This window comes from Homo sapiens, chromosome 15, assembly GCF_000001405.40.
Source record: "Homo sapiens chromosome 15, GRCh38.p14 Primary Assembly".
NCBI classification, from domain to species: domain Eukaryota; kingdom Metazoa; phylum Chordata; class Mammalia; order Primates; family Hominidae; genus Homo; species Homo sapiens.
The window spans coordinates 65,818,364-65,837,568 of record NC_000015.10 but is presented as its reverse complement, the minus strand read 5'-3'; the positions used below and the strand labels follow the sequence as shown (position 1 = coordinate 65,837,568).

The following is a 19,205-nucleotide window of genomic DNA, read 5'->3' as shown; positions in this document are numbered from 1 at the left end:
ACTGCTCCCTAAAAAGGAATCTCTAGAAAGCTGGAAGAGGATAAGAACCAAAGCACCACAGAAGTTAGCCTTCAACAGAATGACAAGCCTTGTAACTGGACGAGAGGAGGAAAGGCCACATACAGATCAAATGGAGGGCTCTCTTTCCAATGAGAACAGACACTGAAATAAAGAGGGCCCTTAGCCGGGTGTGGTGGCTCACACCAGTAATCCCAGCACTTTGGGAGGCCAAGGCAGGAAGATCACTTGAGCCTAGGAGTTTTGAGACCAGCCTGGGCAACATAGGGAGACCTTATCTCTACAAAATAAATAAATAAATAAATAAGGCCCTGCAGGGGCCGGTGCTATTATTTTTAAAAGGAGGGTATAGCTTTTACCACATAGTATTGAACTAGGTGCTCACCCTGTTTGCCCTGAAATGGAAAAGCTGTCTGGGATAGAAACGTTCATTATCTTGACTGCAGTGGTTTCACCAGCATATGCTCATGTTAAAACTCATCAAATTGTACCCTTTAAGTAGGACAATTTATTGTATAACAATTATACCTCAATAAAGCTGGTTGTTATTGCGGGGAGGACTGTTTTGTTTTATTTTGGTTTTTTTCTTACTCTTTGTTTTTGTTGTTGTTTTTAAGCTGGCATGCCTCAGTCAACAGGGGGCATTGTTGTGCATGCCAAGATGGGAAAGTGGTTTTCCCACCTGAATTTCAATTCTACGGCCCTTCTGGCCAGGTGCAGTGGCTCACACCTGTAATCCCAGTACTTTGGGAGGCCGAGGCAGGCGAAATCACCTGAAGTTAACTCAAAATACAAAATTAACCAGATGTAGTGGTGCATGCCTATAGTCCCAGCTACTCTGGAGGCTGAGGCAGGAGAATTGCTGGAACCCCAGTGGCAGAGTTTGCAGTGAATCGAGATCGTGCCATTGCACTCCAGCCTGGGCGACAAGAGCAAAACTCAGTCTCAAAAAAAAAAAATAAATTAAATAAAATAAAATAAATTCTATGGTCCTTCTATTTTTCCTGGGCTTTTCTCAGATGACAGAGCTCTTATTTATAGGCACTAAAAGAAGGTAATTAAATAATTATAGGATGAAAGTATAAGCAAATGGATGTGCAGATGTCTGCTGAAATACTCTTGATGCCTGAGTAGCAAGCACTTTATAAACTCAGCCAGACAAAGGAGGAGATTGCAGGACAAAATCATTTATTCACAGCCATGTGGAAGCCATACATGAGATTCTCTGGTGGTAAAGACTGCAGTTGCTGTCTTCCAGAGAGAAGGTTTTGTTATGCAATTTTTTTTTTTTTCTGAGATGGAGTCTTACTCTGTCGCCCAGGCTGGAGTGCAGCGGCATGACCTTGGCTCACTGCAACCTCCACCTCCCGAGTTCCAGTTATTCTCCTGCCTGAGCCTCCCGAGTAGCTGAGATTACAGGTGTGTGCCACCATGCCTGGCTAATTTTTGTATTTTTAGTAGAGACAGGGTTTTACCATGCTCCCCAGGCTGGTCTCAAACTCCTGGCCTGAAGTGATTCTCCCACCTTGGCTTCCCAAAGTGCTGGGATTACAGGCGTAAACCACTGTGCCTGGCCTGTGTTCTCATCTGGAAAATCCAACTGATAGCCTTTGCCTTACCAGTGTTAAATCACGTTTAGCATAAAGCTGCCTCCTTACATATCTTAAGTTCAGCCTAAAGGTTTCTCTGTACATCATGAACTATAACCTAAATGGAGCTGTATACAGGCTGTAGTCTACTTTTGTGTCAATCATTGAGTTTTGGCCAGTCAAGGATGGCCAACTGTTCAAACGTGTTCAAATAAGGCAAACACCGAACTGTAACCCATCCAGCTGTTTCTCCTCCTCACTTCTTTTTTCTGTTTGTCATTTTCCTTTTTCTGGCCATAAATCTTCCACCATGTGGCTGCGCTGGAGTCTCTGAGCATACTCTGGCTCAGGAGGCTGCCCGATTCACAAATTGTTCTTTGCTCAATTAAACTCTTTTAAATTTAATTTGGCTACAGTTTTTCTTTTAACATCTGTTTCTCAGAATAAAAGTGAAAGATTCCAATGAAAACATTGAAAAAGTAAAAAGAGCTATGAATGTGACATCTTAATGCAACTGCAACAATTTGGCAACACAATTGGTAATCCAGGGTTGCCGGGTTTGTGAAAAGGTACACATCTCCTGGGCCTCTGCCTCTTCCAGATACTTACGGCCAGTTTTGTTGATAGAGTACACTTGTCAATGACTCTTTCCTCCCATCCAAGCTTCCATCCACCATACCTATCATAACAATACCATAAGGTAAACATTATTAAGCCCCAGTTACAGTTGTATGAAAAGTAGTACAGAGAGCTTAAGTGTCTTCTTTACAAGCTAATAACAAATATATATAGAAGAGCTGGGATCTGACCCCAGAACTCCAACACTAATCTCTGGTCTCCTATGTTTCTCTGTTATCTTTTAAAACACCAGTGTCTTGGCCGGGTGAGGTTGCTCACACCTATAATCCCAGCACTTTGGGAGGCCGAGGCGGGCACATTGCCTGAGCCCAGGAGTTCGAGACCAGCTTGAGCAACATGGTGAAACCCCATCTGTACTAAAAATACAAAAATTAGCCGGACATGGTGGCATTCACCTGTAGTCTTAGCTACTCAGCAGGCTGAAGTGGGAGGATAGCTTGAGCCCAGGAGATGACGGAGGTTGCAGTGAGCCATGATCGCACCACTGTACTCTATCCTGGGCAACACAGAGAGATCTTATTTCAAAAAAAAACAAACAATGAAACATTAGTGTCTCTAATACAGTAGTCACCAGCCACAAATGACTATTTGCATTTAAATTAATTAAAATTAAACTGGGCCGGGTGTGGTGGCTCATGCCTATAATCCTAGCACTTTGGGAGGCTGAAGTGAGTGGATCACTTGAAGTCAGGAGTTCAAGACCAGCCTGGCCAATATGGTGAAACCCCATCTCTACTGAAAATGCAAAAATTAGCCAGGTATGGTGGCATGCACATGTCATTCCAGCTATTAGGGAGGCTGAGGCACGAGAATTGCTTGAACCTGGGAAGCAAAGGTTGCAATGAGTCGAGGTCACGCCACTGCACTCTAGCCTGGGCGACAGAGTGAGACTCTGTCTCAAAAAAAATAAATAAACAAAAATTAAACTGGATAAAAACATCCTCGCTTTCCACATTGCAAGTATTCAGTACCCATGTGTAGCTACTATATCAGACAGCATGGATATACAACATTTCCATCATTGCAAAAAGTTGAAATGAACAGTGTTACTGGCACACTACTGTATGCATCAGTAAGACACAGACTGGTGAAATATTTACTTTTACCTGATTCTGCCCCTCTTTCATCCTTATTGTCTAATTCTGAATGTTTTCTCTAGTCCCTCCTTCAGTCTTCTACCTAAATGCATGCCTGGAACTGGCCTGCTGGCTCTGAAGGGCACCCAGCACACAGGGCAGACACGGGGATTTTGATGACAAAGATTGATGCTGGCACTTTGCCTGAGCCCAGGAGACAGCAGCTCTAAAGCAGTCTGCAGCAACAGCACCAGGGTGGGAAGTGAACACCCTCTTTCTGCACATTTGCTGTTTGTTCACCTGCTCTGTCAGAAGTAGACAGAGGCAGAAAGGAAAAAGGAAAGAAGTTAAGTGAGGAGAACGAGAGGAGTGGGGCTAAAGACACCAAAACTTGGTGATCGAATTGTCTTCTAGTTCTTCCAGGCACAAAAGCTTATTCTCTAAAACCATTAAGGAGATTTCATTTGCCATTCCTACAATGGAAGGAATTTAATAATCACTCACTCTCTTAAAGCACTCACCAAACATGGATTTAAATGATCCCGGGCCTAATGATATGTTAAACATCCACATCCTCCTGATGAAGAAGACCCTAGTATAAGTGTTGAAAAAATCAAGTGTTACCAAAAAAAAAAAAAAAAAAAAAAGCCATGAATGAACTGTCTCCTCACCTAGTCCTGTCAATATGTCCTCCTTCTGTCTTCATGCTATCCTGAATATTTAGAAGCCTCTGCTTTGATACTCACCCTTCTTAAGGGGTCCTTTATGCCCAGGGAAGTTATATGAGGACCCATGGAGGTTTCAGCACTCTTTCTGACATCTAGGCTACAAACTGTCCAACCCATCTAAATGTAACAACAGTTTTACCCACATTGCTTTTCTGGCTAACTTCTCTAGCTCTTTGTGTAATTTAGGAAGTAGCATCTTCAAAACATTATAAAACACTCCTTAAGTAATGTGTAGGTGCTCTTTTGCAAGGCCCTGCCTCGCTCATGTGAGTATTATTTTAAAATACTGCCTCTGGATTCCTGGTCTTCAGTTTGAAATTTTTGTAGCTGCTTCAGCACTTCCTTCCCAGAGAGGGCTTGTGGCCTTGCTCCAAACAACACCACAGGACTTCCGCTAAGTATCCGGTTTTGTTTTGGTTTCCTACAACTGAGCTGTCACTCTCTGAGTTGCTGTTTTCAGAGCCCGCTGGGAGGAAAACAGGAATGGGCCCCTGCGGCACCATGCACAGGGCCAAGGAGCTTGGAAACCACTTGAAGGAGCAGCTGGGTGAAAAGTGGCAGGCCGCTATGGGACTCCTCTCTCAGCCTATGAGGACATAGATGACATCGGAAACCTGTGCTTACAGTTTCTCAGGGGCCTGGCACTTTGCTCTGTTGTCCCAGTGACTCACATGATAATTTTCCAGGCCTTCAAACTAGGTCAACAGCTTTGTTTGCCCAGAGAGCTCCCCTGGGAGGCCATTCTAAGGAAAGCAGACTGAAAGGGGATGTTTGGCCAGGTGATTCTTTTTGCTGGCTTTTAGCCTGAGGAAACATGATCAGTATTCAGGCCAGGAGTTTGGAGAATTAAAAGCTGCCAGCATCTGGGCTAAACCAACATACGTCAGTATTATTAGTTAAATGTTAACCATACTGCTAATTGCAGCCCTCTCCTGGAAAGAATTGAACAGATGATTTGGGAAGGCCCTAAAACAAGATGTCCACTCCTTATAGATAAGAAAGACAGCAGCTTGTGCTACAAATCTAGTCATAGAAGCTTCCATTAACTGTGAGTGGGACCTGATCAATTTTTTTCTTTATTAAGCGATGTAGTCTGATTCAGTATTTCTCAAATTTGAGAAGTCACAGAGCCCCAAGAACATATCTGAAGACCTGTAGACCCCAGTTTTTTAAGTCGGAATTACAAGTTTTTCTTTTCTTTTTTTTTTTTTTTTTTTTGAGACAGAGTCTTGCTCTGTTGCCCAGGCTGGAGTGCAGTGGCATGATCTCAGCTCACTGCAAGCTCCGCCTCCCATGTTCACGCCATTCTCCTGCCTCAGTCTCCCGAGTAGCTGGGACTACAGGCACCCGCCACCACGCCCGGCTAATTTTTTGTATTTTTAGTAGAGACAGGGTTTCACCATGTTAACCAGGATGGTCTCAATCTCCTGACCTTGTAATCCGCCCGCCTCAGCCTCCCAAAGTGCTGGGATTACAGGCGTGAGCCACCGTGCCCAGCCCGGAATTACAAGTTTTTCATACCAGTATTATTCACAATGGCCAGAAAGTGAAAACAACCCAAATGTCCATTGACTGATTGGTGGATAAACAATGGGATACAATGGCAACGAAAAGGAATGAAGTGCTGGTACGTGCTACAACATGGATGAATATCGAAAACATGCTAAATGAAAGAAGCCAGACACAAAGACCACATGTCATATGATTCCAGTTATATAAAATGTCCAGAATAGGCAAATCCAAAGAGACAGAGAGTAGATTAGTGGTTGCCAGGGGTTGGGGAGAGAGGGAAATGGACTGCTAATGGGTTTGGGGTTTTTTGAGGTGTGGGGGGTGATGAAAATGCTCTGAAATTATGTAGCAGTGATGGTTGCACAACCTTATGAGTATACCAAAAAACACTAAATTGTATACTTTAAAAGGATGCATTTATGGCATATGAATTACATCTACATTTTATTTGATTTGATTGATTGATTGAGACAGAGTCTCACTCTGGTTGCCCAGGCTGGAGTGCAGTGGTGCCATCTTGGCTCACTGCAGCCTCAACTTTTTGGGCTCAGGTGATTCTCCCACCTCAGCCTCCCAAGTAGCTGGGACTACAGGAGCATGACACAATGCCTGGCTAATTTTTTGTATTTTTTTTTTTTTTTAGTAGAGATGGGGTTTCACCATGTTGCCCAGGCTGATCTCGAACTCCTGGATTCAAGTAATCCGCCCGCCTCAGCCTCCCAGAGTGCTGGGATTACAGCTGTGAGCCACTGTACCCTCAGTCCATATCTAACTTTTAAAAGTTACATATTATTTTAATTTTAAAAGTTACATATTATTTTAGTTGATTACTGGGTATTAGAATATGTTAAATAGTTTGTGCAGAACAATGAAACCTTGTGTCAAGATTCACTTATGTGGTGGCTAGCCAGGTGGTCCAGAAGTGTAGGTTAATTGTAGATAATCATTGAGGGAAATCTAAAATATACTTGTAGATAATGTCAAGGCCCTAAGAACTCATCAGTAGAACTCTCAAGGGTCCCTGAACCCCAATTTGAGAAACATTGGCCCAGGTAACCTCCCAGGATTTGTGACCCTTTTACATGCTATGTGATGAAAACTCTTTATAATGTACTTTCCAAAGACAAAGTCTGGCCAGGGATGCCTTGGGATTTATAAGTCCCTTGGCTGAACCTTGGTAACATAAGTATGTTATTACTCCATCTACTCTCCAGATACTTAATTGAGCATGTGATCTATGAGGATAGAAATGCATTAACCCCATCATGAGATGAAAGTAGAGTATGATATCAGGTGATCTAACATGGAAGATCCTCTGAGGAAGGCCTCCCACTGGGGCCTCACTTGGTTCGTGGATTGATCACTCCTGACTTAGATACTATGACCTTCCAAAAGGGTCCCTGGTGATGGAATAAAGATGGATGCTGGTAACTCAAAACAGAGGGGAAGGCCAGTAGGCATTTATGTCAGCAAGGAGGCTTTCCCAAAAGGTCTGTTTGGGCATGGGCAAAGGTCAAGGTATATAGGGTGTGGTTCATGGTTGGCTTTTATACTTATTTAACTGGAGGACAACTCTCTCTACTCTTTGTTTTTTGGTTTTGTTTTTTGAGACAGAGTCTCGCTCTGTGGCCCAGGCTGGAGTGCAGTGGCGCAATCTTGGCTCACTGCAACCTCTGCCTCCCAGGTTCAAGTGATTCTCATGTCTCAGCCTCTTGAGTAGCTAGCATTACAGGCATGCATCACCATGCCTGGCTAATTTTTATATTTTTAGTAGAGACGAGGTTTCGCTCTCTTGGCCAGGCTGGTCTCGAACTTCCGGCCTCAAGTGATCCATCGACCTCAGATTCCCAAAGTGCTGAGATTACAGGCATGAGCCACTGTGCCCGGCCTGATTTTTTGTTTTCTCACCTAGAAAAAAAACAGAAATTATCCCACTTGCTAGGGTAGTTCAGTCATCAAACTACCAAATAGGGGCTACCAAAGCCCCTATTCTTTATGTATTCTTTATGTACTACACACTAGGCTTGTGCTGGGAGGAAACTGGTGTGGCCCCTTTTCTAAGGGAGCCCACAGCCCAGTGGGGGAGACTATTGTATGTTCTTAGTGTTATGGAAAGAAACTTTGTGTTGAAAGAACTTTGAAAACTATGAGTGCTTTAAAATATATGACAATAAGTATATTTTAATTATCCAGTATGAGTCAATGGTTGGTCTGATTTCTGGACCTGGGTATTTCTCTAAGAGGACTAGGTCTCGCTTTGTCACCCAGACTGGAGTGCAGTGGTGTGATCTAGGCTCACTGCAGCCTCAACTTCCCCAGGCTCAGGTGATCCTCCCACCTCAGCCTCCCAGGTAGTTGGGACTACAGGCGCAAGTCACCACGCCCAACACATTTTTGCATTTTTTATAGAGACAGGGTTTCGTCATGTTGCCTAGGCTGGCCTTGAATTCCTGAGCTCAGGCAATCCACCAGCCTAAGCCTCCTAAAGTGCTGGAATTACAGGCATGAGCCTCCATGCCTGGCCCAAACTACTTTTGTAGAATTAAACATTGGAGCAGTTACTAAATATCATTCACCTGGGTATTGACTGAATTCACCAACTCCCATGACGGTATTTTCATGTTGTGCCCACTAGGTGTCTCGTTATTTTGTAAGAAAATGGAAAAGCACAATGTTTCTACCTGTGTTACCAGTCAGCTATAGGATAAACATGGGAATCACTTAGCTAAAATCTCAGCCCCGTCCTAGCAATCATTGATTAAAATGCCAGTGGTTACCTCTCATTTGAGTAGAAGCAGGGAATGTCCACAAAGATGTCTTTGTGGATTCTTTCTGCTTCTCATAATCCATGTACCTAAAAACTGTTCTCTTAAAGTCAGGACTAGGAAGATGAAGTAGGAATTCTTCCACAACATGAGTACTAAGACCTTAAGGGTAACAGCACTGCATCCCCATTGGTTTCCTAGGTTAATGTTTATGCTGTAACCTGCATGTGAGCTGACATTCCCTAGCCACACCACACTATTTGTATGCCCAGCCAGAATGTGTTCTTCCCTATACATCAATCAAAAAGACTTGTTTTCACAACACAATCCAGGGTCTCTTCTTGCACTTAGAATTTCAGGTTTGTAAATAATATAATACTGCTTATCTCAATATTTTCACCTGTGTCATGAATGACTTTTCTTTAGATGGCCCATGCCGAACCTTCTGTATATGAGTGACATCAGAGCGGAAGGCACTAGATAACAAACAGGAAACTGAGTGCCTTCAAAAGTTTATTGCAACCTCAAGAGCCCATCTCATCAGGCTTTCATACTCTACTAATGGGAGTGTAAACTGATATGACCTTTCTGCAATACAATTTGACAGTATCTATCAAGAATGTATTTTAAAATGTATTTCAAAAGTACTCTTTAATGCTGTGTCTGTCAGGATCCCAAAAGAAAAAGGATTTCAGCCAGGAGCAGTGGCTCATGCCTACAATCCCAGCACTCTGGGAGGCCAAGATGAGTGAATTGCTTGAGCCCAGGAGTTCAGGACCAGCCTGAGCAACATGGTGTATTAGTCTGTTTTCATACTGCTATAAAGAACTGCCCAAGACTGGGTAATTTATAAAGGAAAGAGGTTTAATTGACTCACAGTTCAGCATGGCTGGGGAGGCCTCAGGAAACTTACAATCATGGCATAAGGCAAAGGATAAGCAAGGCACCTTCTTCATGTGGCGGCAGAAGGAGAAGTGCTGAGTGACGGGGGAAGAGCCCCTTATAAAACCATCAGATCTCGTGAGAACTCACTATCACGAGAATAGCAGGTGGGAAACTGCCCCCATGATTCAATTAACCTCCACCTGGTCTCTCCCTTGACACATGGGGATTATGGGGATTACAATTCAAGATGAGATTTGGGTAGGGACACAAAGCCTAACTATATCACATGGTAAAAACCCATCTCTACTAAAAATACAAAAATTAGCCAGGCATGGTGGCACACACCTGTAGTCTCAGCTACTCGGGAGGCTGAGGTGGAAGGATCACTTAAACCCAGGACACAGAGGTTGCAGTGAGCCTGTCAAAAGAAAAAAAAAAAAGAAAAAGGAAAACGATTTGAGTCAGGATGGTTCAAATGAAGAGACTCTTTTTTTTTTTTTTTTTGTTGGGGGACAGGCTCTCACTCCATTACCCAGGCTGGAGTGCAGTGGCACAACCTAGGCTCACTGCAACTTCTGCCTCCCGGGTTCAAGCGATTCTCCTGCCTCAGCTTCCTGAGTAGCTGGGTTTACAGGCACCCACCACCACCCCCAGGATAATTTTTGTATTTTTAGCAGAAAGGGGGTTTCACCATGTTGGCCAGGCTGGTCTCAAACTCCTGACCTCAAGTGATCCGCCTGTCTTGGTCTCCCAAAGTGCTGGGATTACAGGTGTGAGCATTGTGCCTGGCAATGAAGAGACTTTAATAAAAGAACTACTTACAGACAGGTAGGCTGGGCTAAGGGGTAAACAGGGATGTTAAGGCACCAAGAGAAAAGCAACAGTGGGAAGCAACATTTCCTTATCCTAGGGATAAAGGAACAGAGGGAGGAAATAATCTTACAGAATCCAGTAAGAGCAGGGAATGGTGGAGGAGGGATCCAACCCCAAGAAAGGAGACTAGGTTGGGGGTGGGGAGGGGTAAGCAGCTAGCTGGCTCAAAGCAGGAAGAGAGTAAGGAGGAAATACCCTGACTTCTCTCTCTTCTAGCATACGTGATCTCCGGCTGGTGCCACCCCTGAATAAATCCCAAGGAAGCCAAGGGGCAAGGAATGCTGGAGATGCAATTCTTTGGAATGAAGAAAGACAGAGATTGCGGTAGGGGTGGGGGCAGGAGTGAAAAATAACCTACACAGTCCTGTAGTTCCACTCCTTAGAATATATCCTAGGGGCATAATCAAAGATGGAAGCAAAGAATTATATATAAGAATGTTCTTCACAGGGTTAAGTATAATAGTAAAAAAAAAAGAAAGAAAATAAGCTAAATTTCCTATAATAGAAGGATAAATTATAGTATATCCATACTTTGGAATATTGTCATGACACAATAAACATTTTTAAGGAATCTGTGATGATATGTAGAAATGCTTACAATAAAATGTTAATTGAAAAAAACAAAGACACAAAACTGTATGCACAGTATTAACCCAGTTCCTTGAACACCTATATGCAAAAGGAAAAACATCTAAAAAATGTGAGCAGTATTTACTTTTGATGATAGGATTACTTTTTTTTCTTAGTAGCTTTCAATGTTTTTCCTTTTTTTCATATTAAGCATATAATAGTTTTGTGATCAAGGAAAAAAGCCAGTGCCAAAAAGGAGAGCCTTTCTTATTGAAATGGACTCTGCTCAATAGAAAATATTAACAAAGGACACAATTATTTAAGTGTATTAAAATCAGTGACATGAGAGGTGAACTTCAATCTGTCTCCATTTGATATCTGGACAAAAAGTGAAAGAAAAATCAGTCAATTTCTACATGATATTAAATATCCAGATATTTTTAGCCTGGGTGACATGGCAAAACTCCGTCTCTACAAAAAGTAAAAAAAATTAACCTGGCGTGATGGCACATGCCTGTTGTCCCAGCTACCAGGGAGACTGAGGTGGGAGGATCACCTGAGCCTGGGGAGGTTGAGGCTGTAGTGAGCCAAGATTGAGCCACTGCACTCCAGCCTGGGCAAGAGAGTGAGACCCTGTCTTAAAAAAAAAACATATATACATATATATATATATATATATATATATACACACACACGCACACACACACACACACACAAATAGATACATATATACACACACATAGATATTTTAGATGATTTTGATTCTTTACTATATTTTTCCCTCTTCACTTTCGTTGTAGCAGGACAAGCCACAGACAAAACTCCTCAGACACCGAGTTAAAGAAGGAAGAGGTTTATTCGGCCAGGAGCATCGGCAGGACTCCTGTCTCAAGAGCCGAACTCCCTGAGTGAGCAATTCCTGTCCCTTTTAAGAGCTCACAACTCTAAGGGGGTCCGCGTGAGAGGGTTGTGATCAATTGAGCAAGCAGGGGGTACGTGACAGGGGCTGCATGCACCAGTGGTCAGAGTGAAACAGAACAGACCGGGAAGTTTTACAATGTCTTTCTATAATCTATAGATAACATCAGTTGCTAGGTCAGGGGTCGAATTTTAGGCTTAGGTCAGGCAGGCCCAGGCCTGGTTTCGGGTCTGGTTCCTAGGTTTTGGGTCTGGTTCCTAGGTGCCAGGCTACCTGCCTTTAGTTTTGCTTCTCTATCCTTTTCTGAGTATAAAACAATATAAAACAATATGAGAGGGTCTGTCTCTCTTCTCTCATAGTGACAGGTATGAGATCAATTCAGCTTTAACTGGACTCACTCATCTTGCAACTCTGAAAAATTAAAAAAAAAATTTTTTTTCCCACAACTGTAGCATCAGGCATGGTGGTTCACACCTGTAATCCCAGCACTTCGGAGGACAAGGCAGGTGGATTGTTTGAGTCCAGAAGTTTGAGACCAGCCTGGCCAACATAGCAAATTAGCTCTGCATGGTGGTGTGTGCTTGTAATTCCAGCTACTCAGGAGCCTAAGGCACGAGAATTGCTTCAACCTGGGAAGTCGTGCAGTGAGCTGTCAGCTGTAGTGGAGCCAAGATTGTGCAACTGCACTCCAGCCTGGGTGACCCCCCCAAAAAATTTTTTTTTTACTTGGTACTGTCTGTTAGCCTTACATAAAGCTTTATCAATTTACATTTCCAATAAAAAGTTGAAAAGATGCTAAACCTCACTTATAATCAGGAAAATGCAAATTAAAATAACAATAGGACAATATTTTTTTTCCCATTTGGGTTCACAAATGTAAAAAGGTTGATAATGCAAAGTATGGAGGGAGATAGAGACATTTGTCCTCACATAAAAGTTCTTTTAACAACGAGAATCTACACATTAGGGAGTGTTCCTGAGAGAGATTAAAAGTGATTATATTATGCTAGATTGTTGTGATAAATAAACAAAGGACGCTTCTGTTACAGGTTCATTCGTTATTTTATGTGTGCTAATAGCCCTGCTGTTAACATGTATCCATTGAGCATTTTTATCTTGTATCATTATATTCTTTTCTTTTTTCTTTTGTATTTTCTATTTCTTGTATCATTATTTTCTAATCACTAATTCATTAATTCACTAAGTAGACACGAATTTCTCTATTTTATCTTCTATTATCTATTTTTTTAATAAAAAAGACAGGGTCTTAGTATGCTGCCCAGGCTGGTCTCAAACTCCTGGGCTCATCCTCCCGCCTCAGCCTTCCAAAGTGCTGGGATTACAGGCAGGAGCAACTGCCCCTGGCCAGATGTCTCCATTTTAATAGCTATAGTTTAGTTTACCATTTACACAGCACTTTCTCATCAAATACTTTCATTGATCTCTGCTTCAGTGACAGGGGGAGGTGCTATTTTCAGATGAGGAAATTGAATCTCAGAGAAGTTAAATGATTTTCCAAGGTCACAGTCACTAATAACTGGAGGGGCTCAGGTCCTCTGACTCCCAGTTCCACCAGCTTCCCACTTTCTCAATTGCTTTTCAAACGAAGCACAGTGGAAGGCCTCCCTGGCTCTTCCATGGAGTTCAAGTCAATCCGAAAGGAACCACAAGGGGCAGAATGGTGCAGTGGAGGATACAGCTAGCTGGAAGCCTGAGAACTGTTTTTTTCTTCACTCTGTGCTTCTCCCAGTTGTGTGACCATAGGCAAGTCATTTAGCCTCATGGAGCCTCACTGGCCTCTTTAGGAAAATAGAGATGAAGAGATGACGCTTGCTTACTGGTGTTGAAAGCAGAGATGATGCCATGCAGTTTCTTCTAGCTGTGAGGGTTTTTTTTTGTTTTTTGTTTTTGAGACAGTCACATTCTGTCGCCCAGGCTAGAGTATCATGGTGCGATCTCGGCTCCAACCTCTGCCTCCAGGGTTCAAGTGATCCTCCCACCTCAGCCCTCAAGTAGCTCGGACTACAGGAGTGGGCCACACTACACTTGGCTAATTTTTATATTTTTAGAAGAGATGGGGTTTCACCATGCTAGCCAGACTGGTCTCAAACTCCTGGGCTCAAGTGATCCACCTGCCTGAGCCTCCCAAAGTGCTAGGATTACAGGAGTGAGCCACCGCGCCTAGCCACCTAGCTGTGAGATTTTGAGCCAAACTTAGACTAGTGCTCCTTCTCTGCTCATATATTTTACAAAATACCACTTTCTGCAATGGATTTAGTCTCTGCAAATGTGAACTCATAACAGACAAACTCACCATATAATTAATGCTTTCCTTGATTGGGGTCTAAAACTGTTCCCTTACCTTTTTTTTTCTTTTACTTTTTCTTTTTTTTTTAAGTATTATTAGGTAAACTTGCTGAAAGATAAGGAAATCCCAAGAGAACAACAGCAAATGGTTTCAGGTAGCTCACTGTATCTGAAAAGGTGTTTTCTGCCTGGATCTCTATTTGGTGTGGCCACCTACATTGTTTGTTGCCTATTACATATTTTTACAGATTTTATTATTACAGGTTTTTTTTTTGAGACAGGGTCTCGCTCTGTTGCCCAGGCTGGAGTGCAGTGGCACGACCTCAGCTCACTGCAGCCTCTGCCTCCCGGGTTCAAGCGATTCTCCTATCTCAGCCTCCTGAGTAGCTGGGATTACAGGTGCCCGCCACCATGCTTGGCTAATTTTTGTATTTTTAGTAGAGATGGGGTTTCACCATGTTGGCCAGGCTGGTCTCAAACCCCTGACCTCGGGTGATCCGCCCGCCTCAGCCTCTCAAAACGGTGGTATTACAGGCATGAGCCACTGCACTCGGCTCACAGTTGTTTCTTTATAGTTTCAATTTCCATAAGCCAAAGAGTCTTTGTTTTGTTTTGTTTTGTTTTTAAGACAGAGTCTCCCTCTGTTGCCCAGGCTGGAGTACAGAGGTGCAATCTCAGCTCACTGCAACCTCTGCCTCCTGGGTTCAAGCAATTCTCCTGCCTCAGCCTCCCAAGTAGCTGGGACTATAGGCTCATGCCACCATGCCCAGCTAATTTTTGTATTTTTAGTAGAGACAGGGTTTCACTATATTGGCCAGGCTGGTCTCGAACTCCTGACCTCGTGATCCGCCCACCTTGGCCTCCCAAAGAGCTGGGATTACAGGCATGAGCCACTGCACCCGGCCAAGCCAAAGATTTTACAAGCTGGAAAGAGCCTTAAGAGATCACTTGATCCTTTCCCCTGTCTTCGAGCGGGTAAAATATTTTTCCATTTAGCAGAGGAAGCATCCAGTGCCCAGAAAGCCTGAAAGTTATTGAAGGTTTCACAGCCAGCAATTACCCTCATGCTGCAGGACTTATTCCATTCTTGCTGCACGACCATTTATTAGCAATCCTGACTCTTCCAGAAAATTGCAATGAAAGCCAAAAAGAGTAAACTATATGATCATTAGTTGTTTTCTTTTTATCACACATCCTGAATTCTTCTAGTCCTAACCATATTTTGATGTATTATTTATAAGAGCCATCTGGTCACAGGTTCCTGGAGAAAACTCTGGAATTTTAAAAAGTCTGCTTTATTTTTCCAGGAAACACACTGCATAGCTCCAATCTATCCTTTACGTGTTCATCAGGGATACAGAAGGCAATTTGGATTCTTTTTTTAAATTGAGATATAACTTACCTACAGTAAAGTGCACAACTTTTTTTTTTTTTTTTTTTTAGACAGAGTCTCGCTCTGTTAGCCAGGCTGGAGTGCAGTGACACAGTCTCGGCTCACTGCAACCTCCGCCTCCCAGGCTCAAGAAATTCTCCTGCCTCAGCCTCCCGAGTAGCTGGGATTACAGGCGCCTGCCACCACGCCTGGCTAATTTTTGTATTTTTAGTAGAGACTGTGTTTCACCATGTTGGCCAGGCTGGTCTCAAACTCCTGACCTCATGTAATCTGCCCTCCTCGGCCTCCCAAAGTGCTGGGATTATAGGCATGAGCCACCGTGCCTGGCCTTTTTTTTTTATTTTATTTTAAGATGGAGTCTTGCTCTTGTTGCCCAGGTTGGAGTGCATTGGCACAATCTCGGAAGCTCACTGCAACCTCTGCCTCCCAGGTTCAAACAATTCTCCTGCCTCAGCCTCCTGAGTAACTGGGATTATAGGCGCCCACCCCCACGCCCGGGTGATTTTTGTATTTTTAGTAGAGATGGGGTTTCACCATGTTGGCCAGGCTAGTCTCGAACTCCTGACCTCAGGTGATGCGCCTGCCTCGGCCTCCCAAAGTGCTGGGATTACAGGCGCGAGCCACCGAGCCTGGCCAAAGTGCATAACTTCTAAGTGGACAACTCAAAATATTTTTACATGTGTATGTATCATGTAACACCACTCAGTTCAACATATAGATTGTTACTAGCACCTCTGAAGAATCTCTGTGCCCTATACTAGTCAGCACCCTCTAGGGATAACCACTGTTTTGACTTTTATCACCACAATTTAGTTTTGCCTGTTTTTGAACTTCATATTAATAGAATCAGACAGCATGTATTGTATTTGTTTTCTTTCACTCAACACTATGTCTGTGAAATTATTGACCATATTCTAAAGATGCAATTCATCTTCTGGCTCAAGTCCTCAGGGAATCTGTCAAAACTATGTACATACTATGTTAGCTATACACAGGTATGCATAGTCTAAAAACAGGCAGTTGAGAAAAGAACTTTCTTAAATGACCAAAATAGAATAACCAACCTATGCTGCTCTTGTTGCTTTCTACTCTTGCTTCAATTTCACTTTCATCTCTGCTTTGAAATGGGATCTGATCCACCCAAGTATTTTCTTTTCTTCTCCCACTAATGGATAAATAGCTTATGCAATTTTCCTTATTTATATCCAGCATTCCCCATTAATGCTCCACAATCATTGGTCTACAAGGTATAAATGGCCTCAAGCTATAATTTGATGCAGCCCTCTATCATCAGCAAGAAAAGCATTACTGGGGCCAGGTGCAGTGGCTCATGCCTGTAATCCCAGCACTTTGGGAGGCTGAGGCAGGTGGATCACGAGGAGGTCAGGAGATAGAGGCCATTCTGGCCAACGTGGTGAAACCCCGTCTCTACTAAAATAAGAAGAAAAAATTAGCCGGGCATGTGGCGCATGCCTGTAGTCCCAGCTACCCAGGAGGCTGAGGCAGGGGAATCACTTGAACCCGGGAGGCAGAGGTTGCAGTGAGCCGAGATCCCACCACCGCACTCCAGCTGGGGGACAGAGCAAAACTCTGCCTCAAAAAAAAAAAAAAAAAAGAAAGAAAAGAAAACAAAAGCATTATTATTGGACGGGGTGCAGTGACTCATGCCTGTAATCCCAGCACTTTGGGAGGCCAAGGCAAGCAGATCACTTGAGACTAGAAGTTTGAGACCAGCCTGCCAACATGGTGAAACCCTGTCTCTACTAAAAATACAAAAAACAGCTGGGTGTTGTGGCAGGCACCTGTAATCCCAGCTACTGGGGAGGCTGAGGCAGGAGAATCACTTGAACCCAGGAGGTGGAGGTTGCAGTGAGCCAAGATCGCGCCACTGCACCCCAGCCTGGGCGACAGAATGAGAGCCTATCAAAAAGAAAGAAAAGAAAAGAAAGGAAAGGAAAGAAAAGGAAAGGAAAAGAAAGGAAGAGAAAGAAAGAGAAAATAAAAGAAAGATTAAAGAAAAGAAAGAGAAAGAAAGAAAAGAGAGAAAGGAAAGCATTAAAAGCATTATTATGCTCTATATTCAGATTCAACAGATATTTACTGAGCACATATAATCTTTAATGTATTTTGCTAGGTGTTATGGAGAACTACAAAAATATAGCAAGCATGGGTTCTACCCTTATGAACATTCAGTCTAGCAAAGAAGCAGTATAGTATGGATATCTACATAAAAGATCATAATATAAGCTATAAAGTATTAAAAATGACACCATTTGAGTTAAAAGAAAAAAGATGCTATTCAAAAAGCTCAGAGGAAAAGTTAGCTTCTAGTCAGGGTGGTGTCAAGGAAGCTTGGTGGGAGAGTATTTATACTAGAAGGATTAAAAGAAGTAGGATATCATGACTAGATAGGTTTAGTCATACAGCGGATGGGGCAAGGGCATTTTAGATAACCATAAGGACAAGGACCCTGAACTGGGAAATTATGCTGCATGTACAGGGAGTGACTGTGCAGTCTGACCAAAGAACAGGGCAAGTAATGAAGAAACTGGGGCCCCGGGTGGTTATGGATTACCCAGAGCCATAGCACCAGACAGCCCTAGAATGGGCATTGAATCCCAGGCGTTTTCCTTCTTTAATGCTCCCACAATATGACCAAGTCAACATTTTAGTCACTGCTCTGCTTTATTTACAACAACCCATTATATATTGTCCATTAAGTAATTGACTCAACAAACACTTATCGAATATCTAGTACACTCTAGGCATAATTGGATGCTATGGTCTCCAAGGCTGATTTGATATGTGTTATAAAATACTTTTTCCCAAGTGGGGAATAGGGCTAATATTGGGCTAAGACAGATTGTCTTTGTCTTTGTTAAAATTTTATAGAGTTATACTTCAGAGCAAATACTATAAACAACAAAGACAATTAAATAAACCACAAAAACAGATCTCTGTATCATGTTTTTCTACACGACATCAATACACTGAGTCTTAGCAATGACTGCCCATGTGTTTTTTCCATAACTATGCTTACTTATGTTTTAGCAAGGGGTAATACAGAAGGATATGAAACCCTCCATCCTTGAGCGAAAGTTTAAAAACATTTCTAGTATTATAGTAGAACAAGACTCACTTCCGTTTAGCTTATCAACCACCAAGAGACATTTCCCCTTTGTACTTGTTATGTTTTAGTGTAACTATGGAGACACAGCACTTTCCATGCAAGTGACACACATGATTTTGGTTTAACATACTCATTTTCTGAGAAACATTTTAAAATGTGGTCACTATTTTAAAAATTGTGGTCACTATGAGATCTTTGAGCTACTTTGGTATTTCAATGTAAATCCATACATTTGTTAGCAATATTCATTGAGGGAAGAGTTAAGTACCACGGATTATGGATTCTTTCTGATTCCATCAAACTATTCCTAATTAAAGCTTTGGTGCCAGAAAAAAAAAGGTAATTATGAATTGAACAAATTGGGCTATCAGATATTTTTATAAATCGTAGGGTATATCAAGTTGAGTTTTGAGAGCTCTGTTTCCAGGTATATGGCAGGCTAGGAATTCACACTGCACCTCCCACTGGAAACAATTAAAAAGGCTGAATTAAAAAAAATCTTAAACCTCTTAGAAGCATTGAGCATGGGCAAGAAAGAAAGAAATTATTAGGTCAAAGAGAAGTGAAGAAGGAATCCAGACAGGTAAGTGGACAACACTGTCCAGGTGTACAACACCAGGAGGCACCATTTGGATTCTATTCACCTAAATGATGCTCTTGGGGTTGTTTGATGCTATGGCCCTGAGATCACTTTGCCCTAAGGGCATTTGCTCAACCTGGTGAACTGCAGCTTGGGCTTCACAATGGTTCCAGAGACAAGGTAAAGCCGAGGGCTTGGAGAATCCCATTGGAGACCATTCT

At 42.6% G+C, this 19,205-nt stretch overlaps 1 long non-coding RNA gene across 3 annotated transcripts in view, besides 3 other annotated features; it reads right to left on the bottom strand.

The window, feature by feature from the left end:
• The window catches only part of LOC105370866 (uncharacterized), a 68,011-nt gene that overhangs the window by 22,915 nt on the left and 25,891 nt on the right, over window positions 1–19,205 (bottom strand). The window contains exons 1-2 of one of the 3 annotated variants that reach the window (XR_932371.2): window positions 4,069–4,183; window positions 2,217–2,286 (exon numbers count right to left, since the gene is read on the bottom strand). The exons of 1 other annotated variant lie outside the window; for it this stretch is intronic. This is a non-coding gene — a long non-coding RNA (uncharacterized LOC105370866). Of the gene's footprint in view, window positions 1–2,216; window positions 2,287–4,068; window positions 4,184–19,205 lie in introns of those variants that run through there. One more of the 3 variants, XR_932373.2, reaches the window with a different exon arrangement.
• Window positions 3,030–3,760: an enhancer, noted in NCBI's record as "H3K27ac hESC enhancer chr15:66126147-66126877 (GRCh37/hg19 assembly coordinates)". NCBI's record gives its function as "activates a minimal SCP1, AML or CMV promoter by ChIP-STARR-seq in primed H9 embryonic stem cells {active_cell/tissue: H9 hESC(primed)}" and the evidence as "EXISTENCE:reporter gene assay evidence [ECO:0000049][PMID:30033119]".
• Window positions 4,493–5,223: an enhancer, noted in NCBI's record as "NANOG-H3K27ac hESC enhancer chr15:66124684-66125414 (GRCh37/hg19 assembly coordinates)". NCBI's record gives its function as "activates a minimal SCP1, AML or CMV promoter by ChIP-STARR-seq in naive and primed H9 embryonic stem cells {active_cell/tissue: H9 hESC(naive and primed)}" and the evidence as "EXISTENCE:reporter gene assay evidence [ECO:0000049][PMID:30033119]".
• Window positions 16,139–16,258: an enhancer, noted in NCBI's record as "active region_9606". NCBI's record gives its function as "activates an Ori minimal core promoter by ATAC-STARR-seq in GM12878 lymphoblastoid cells {active_cell/tissue: GM12878}" and the evidence as "EXISTENCE:reporter gene assay evidence [ECO:0000049][PMID:35858748]".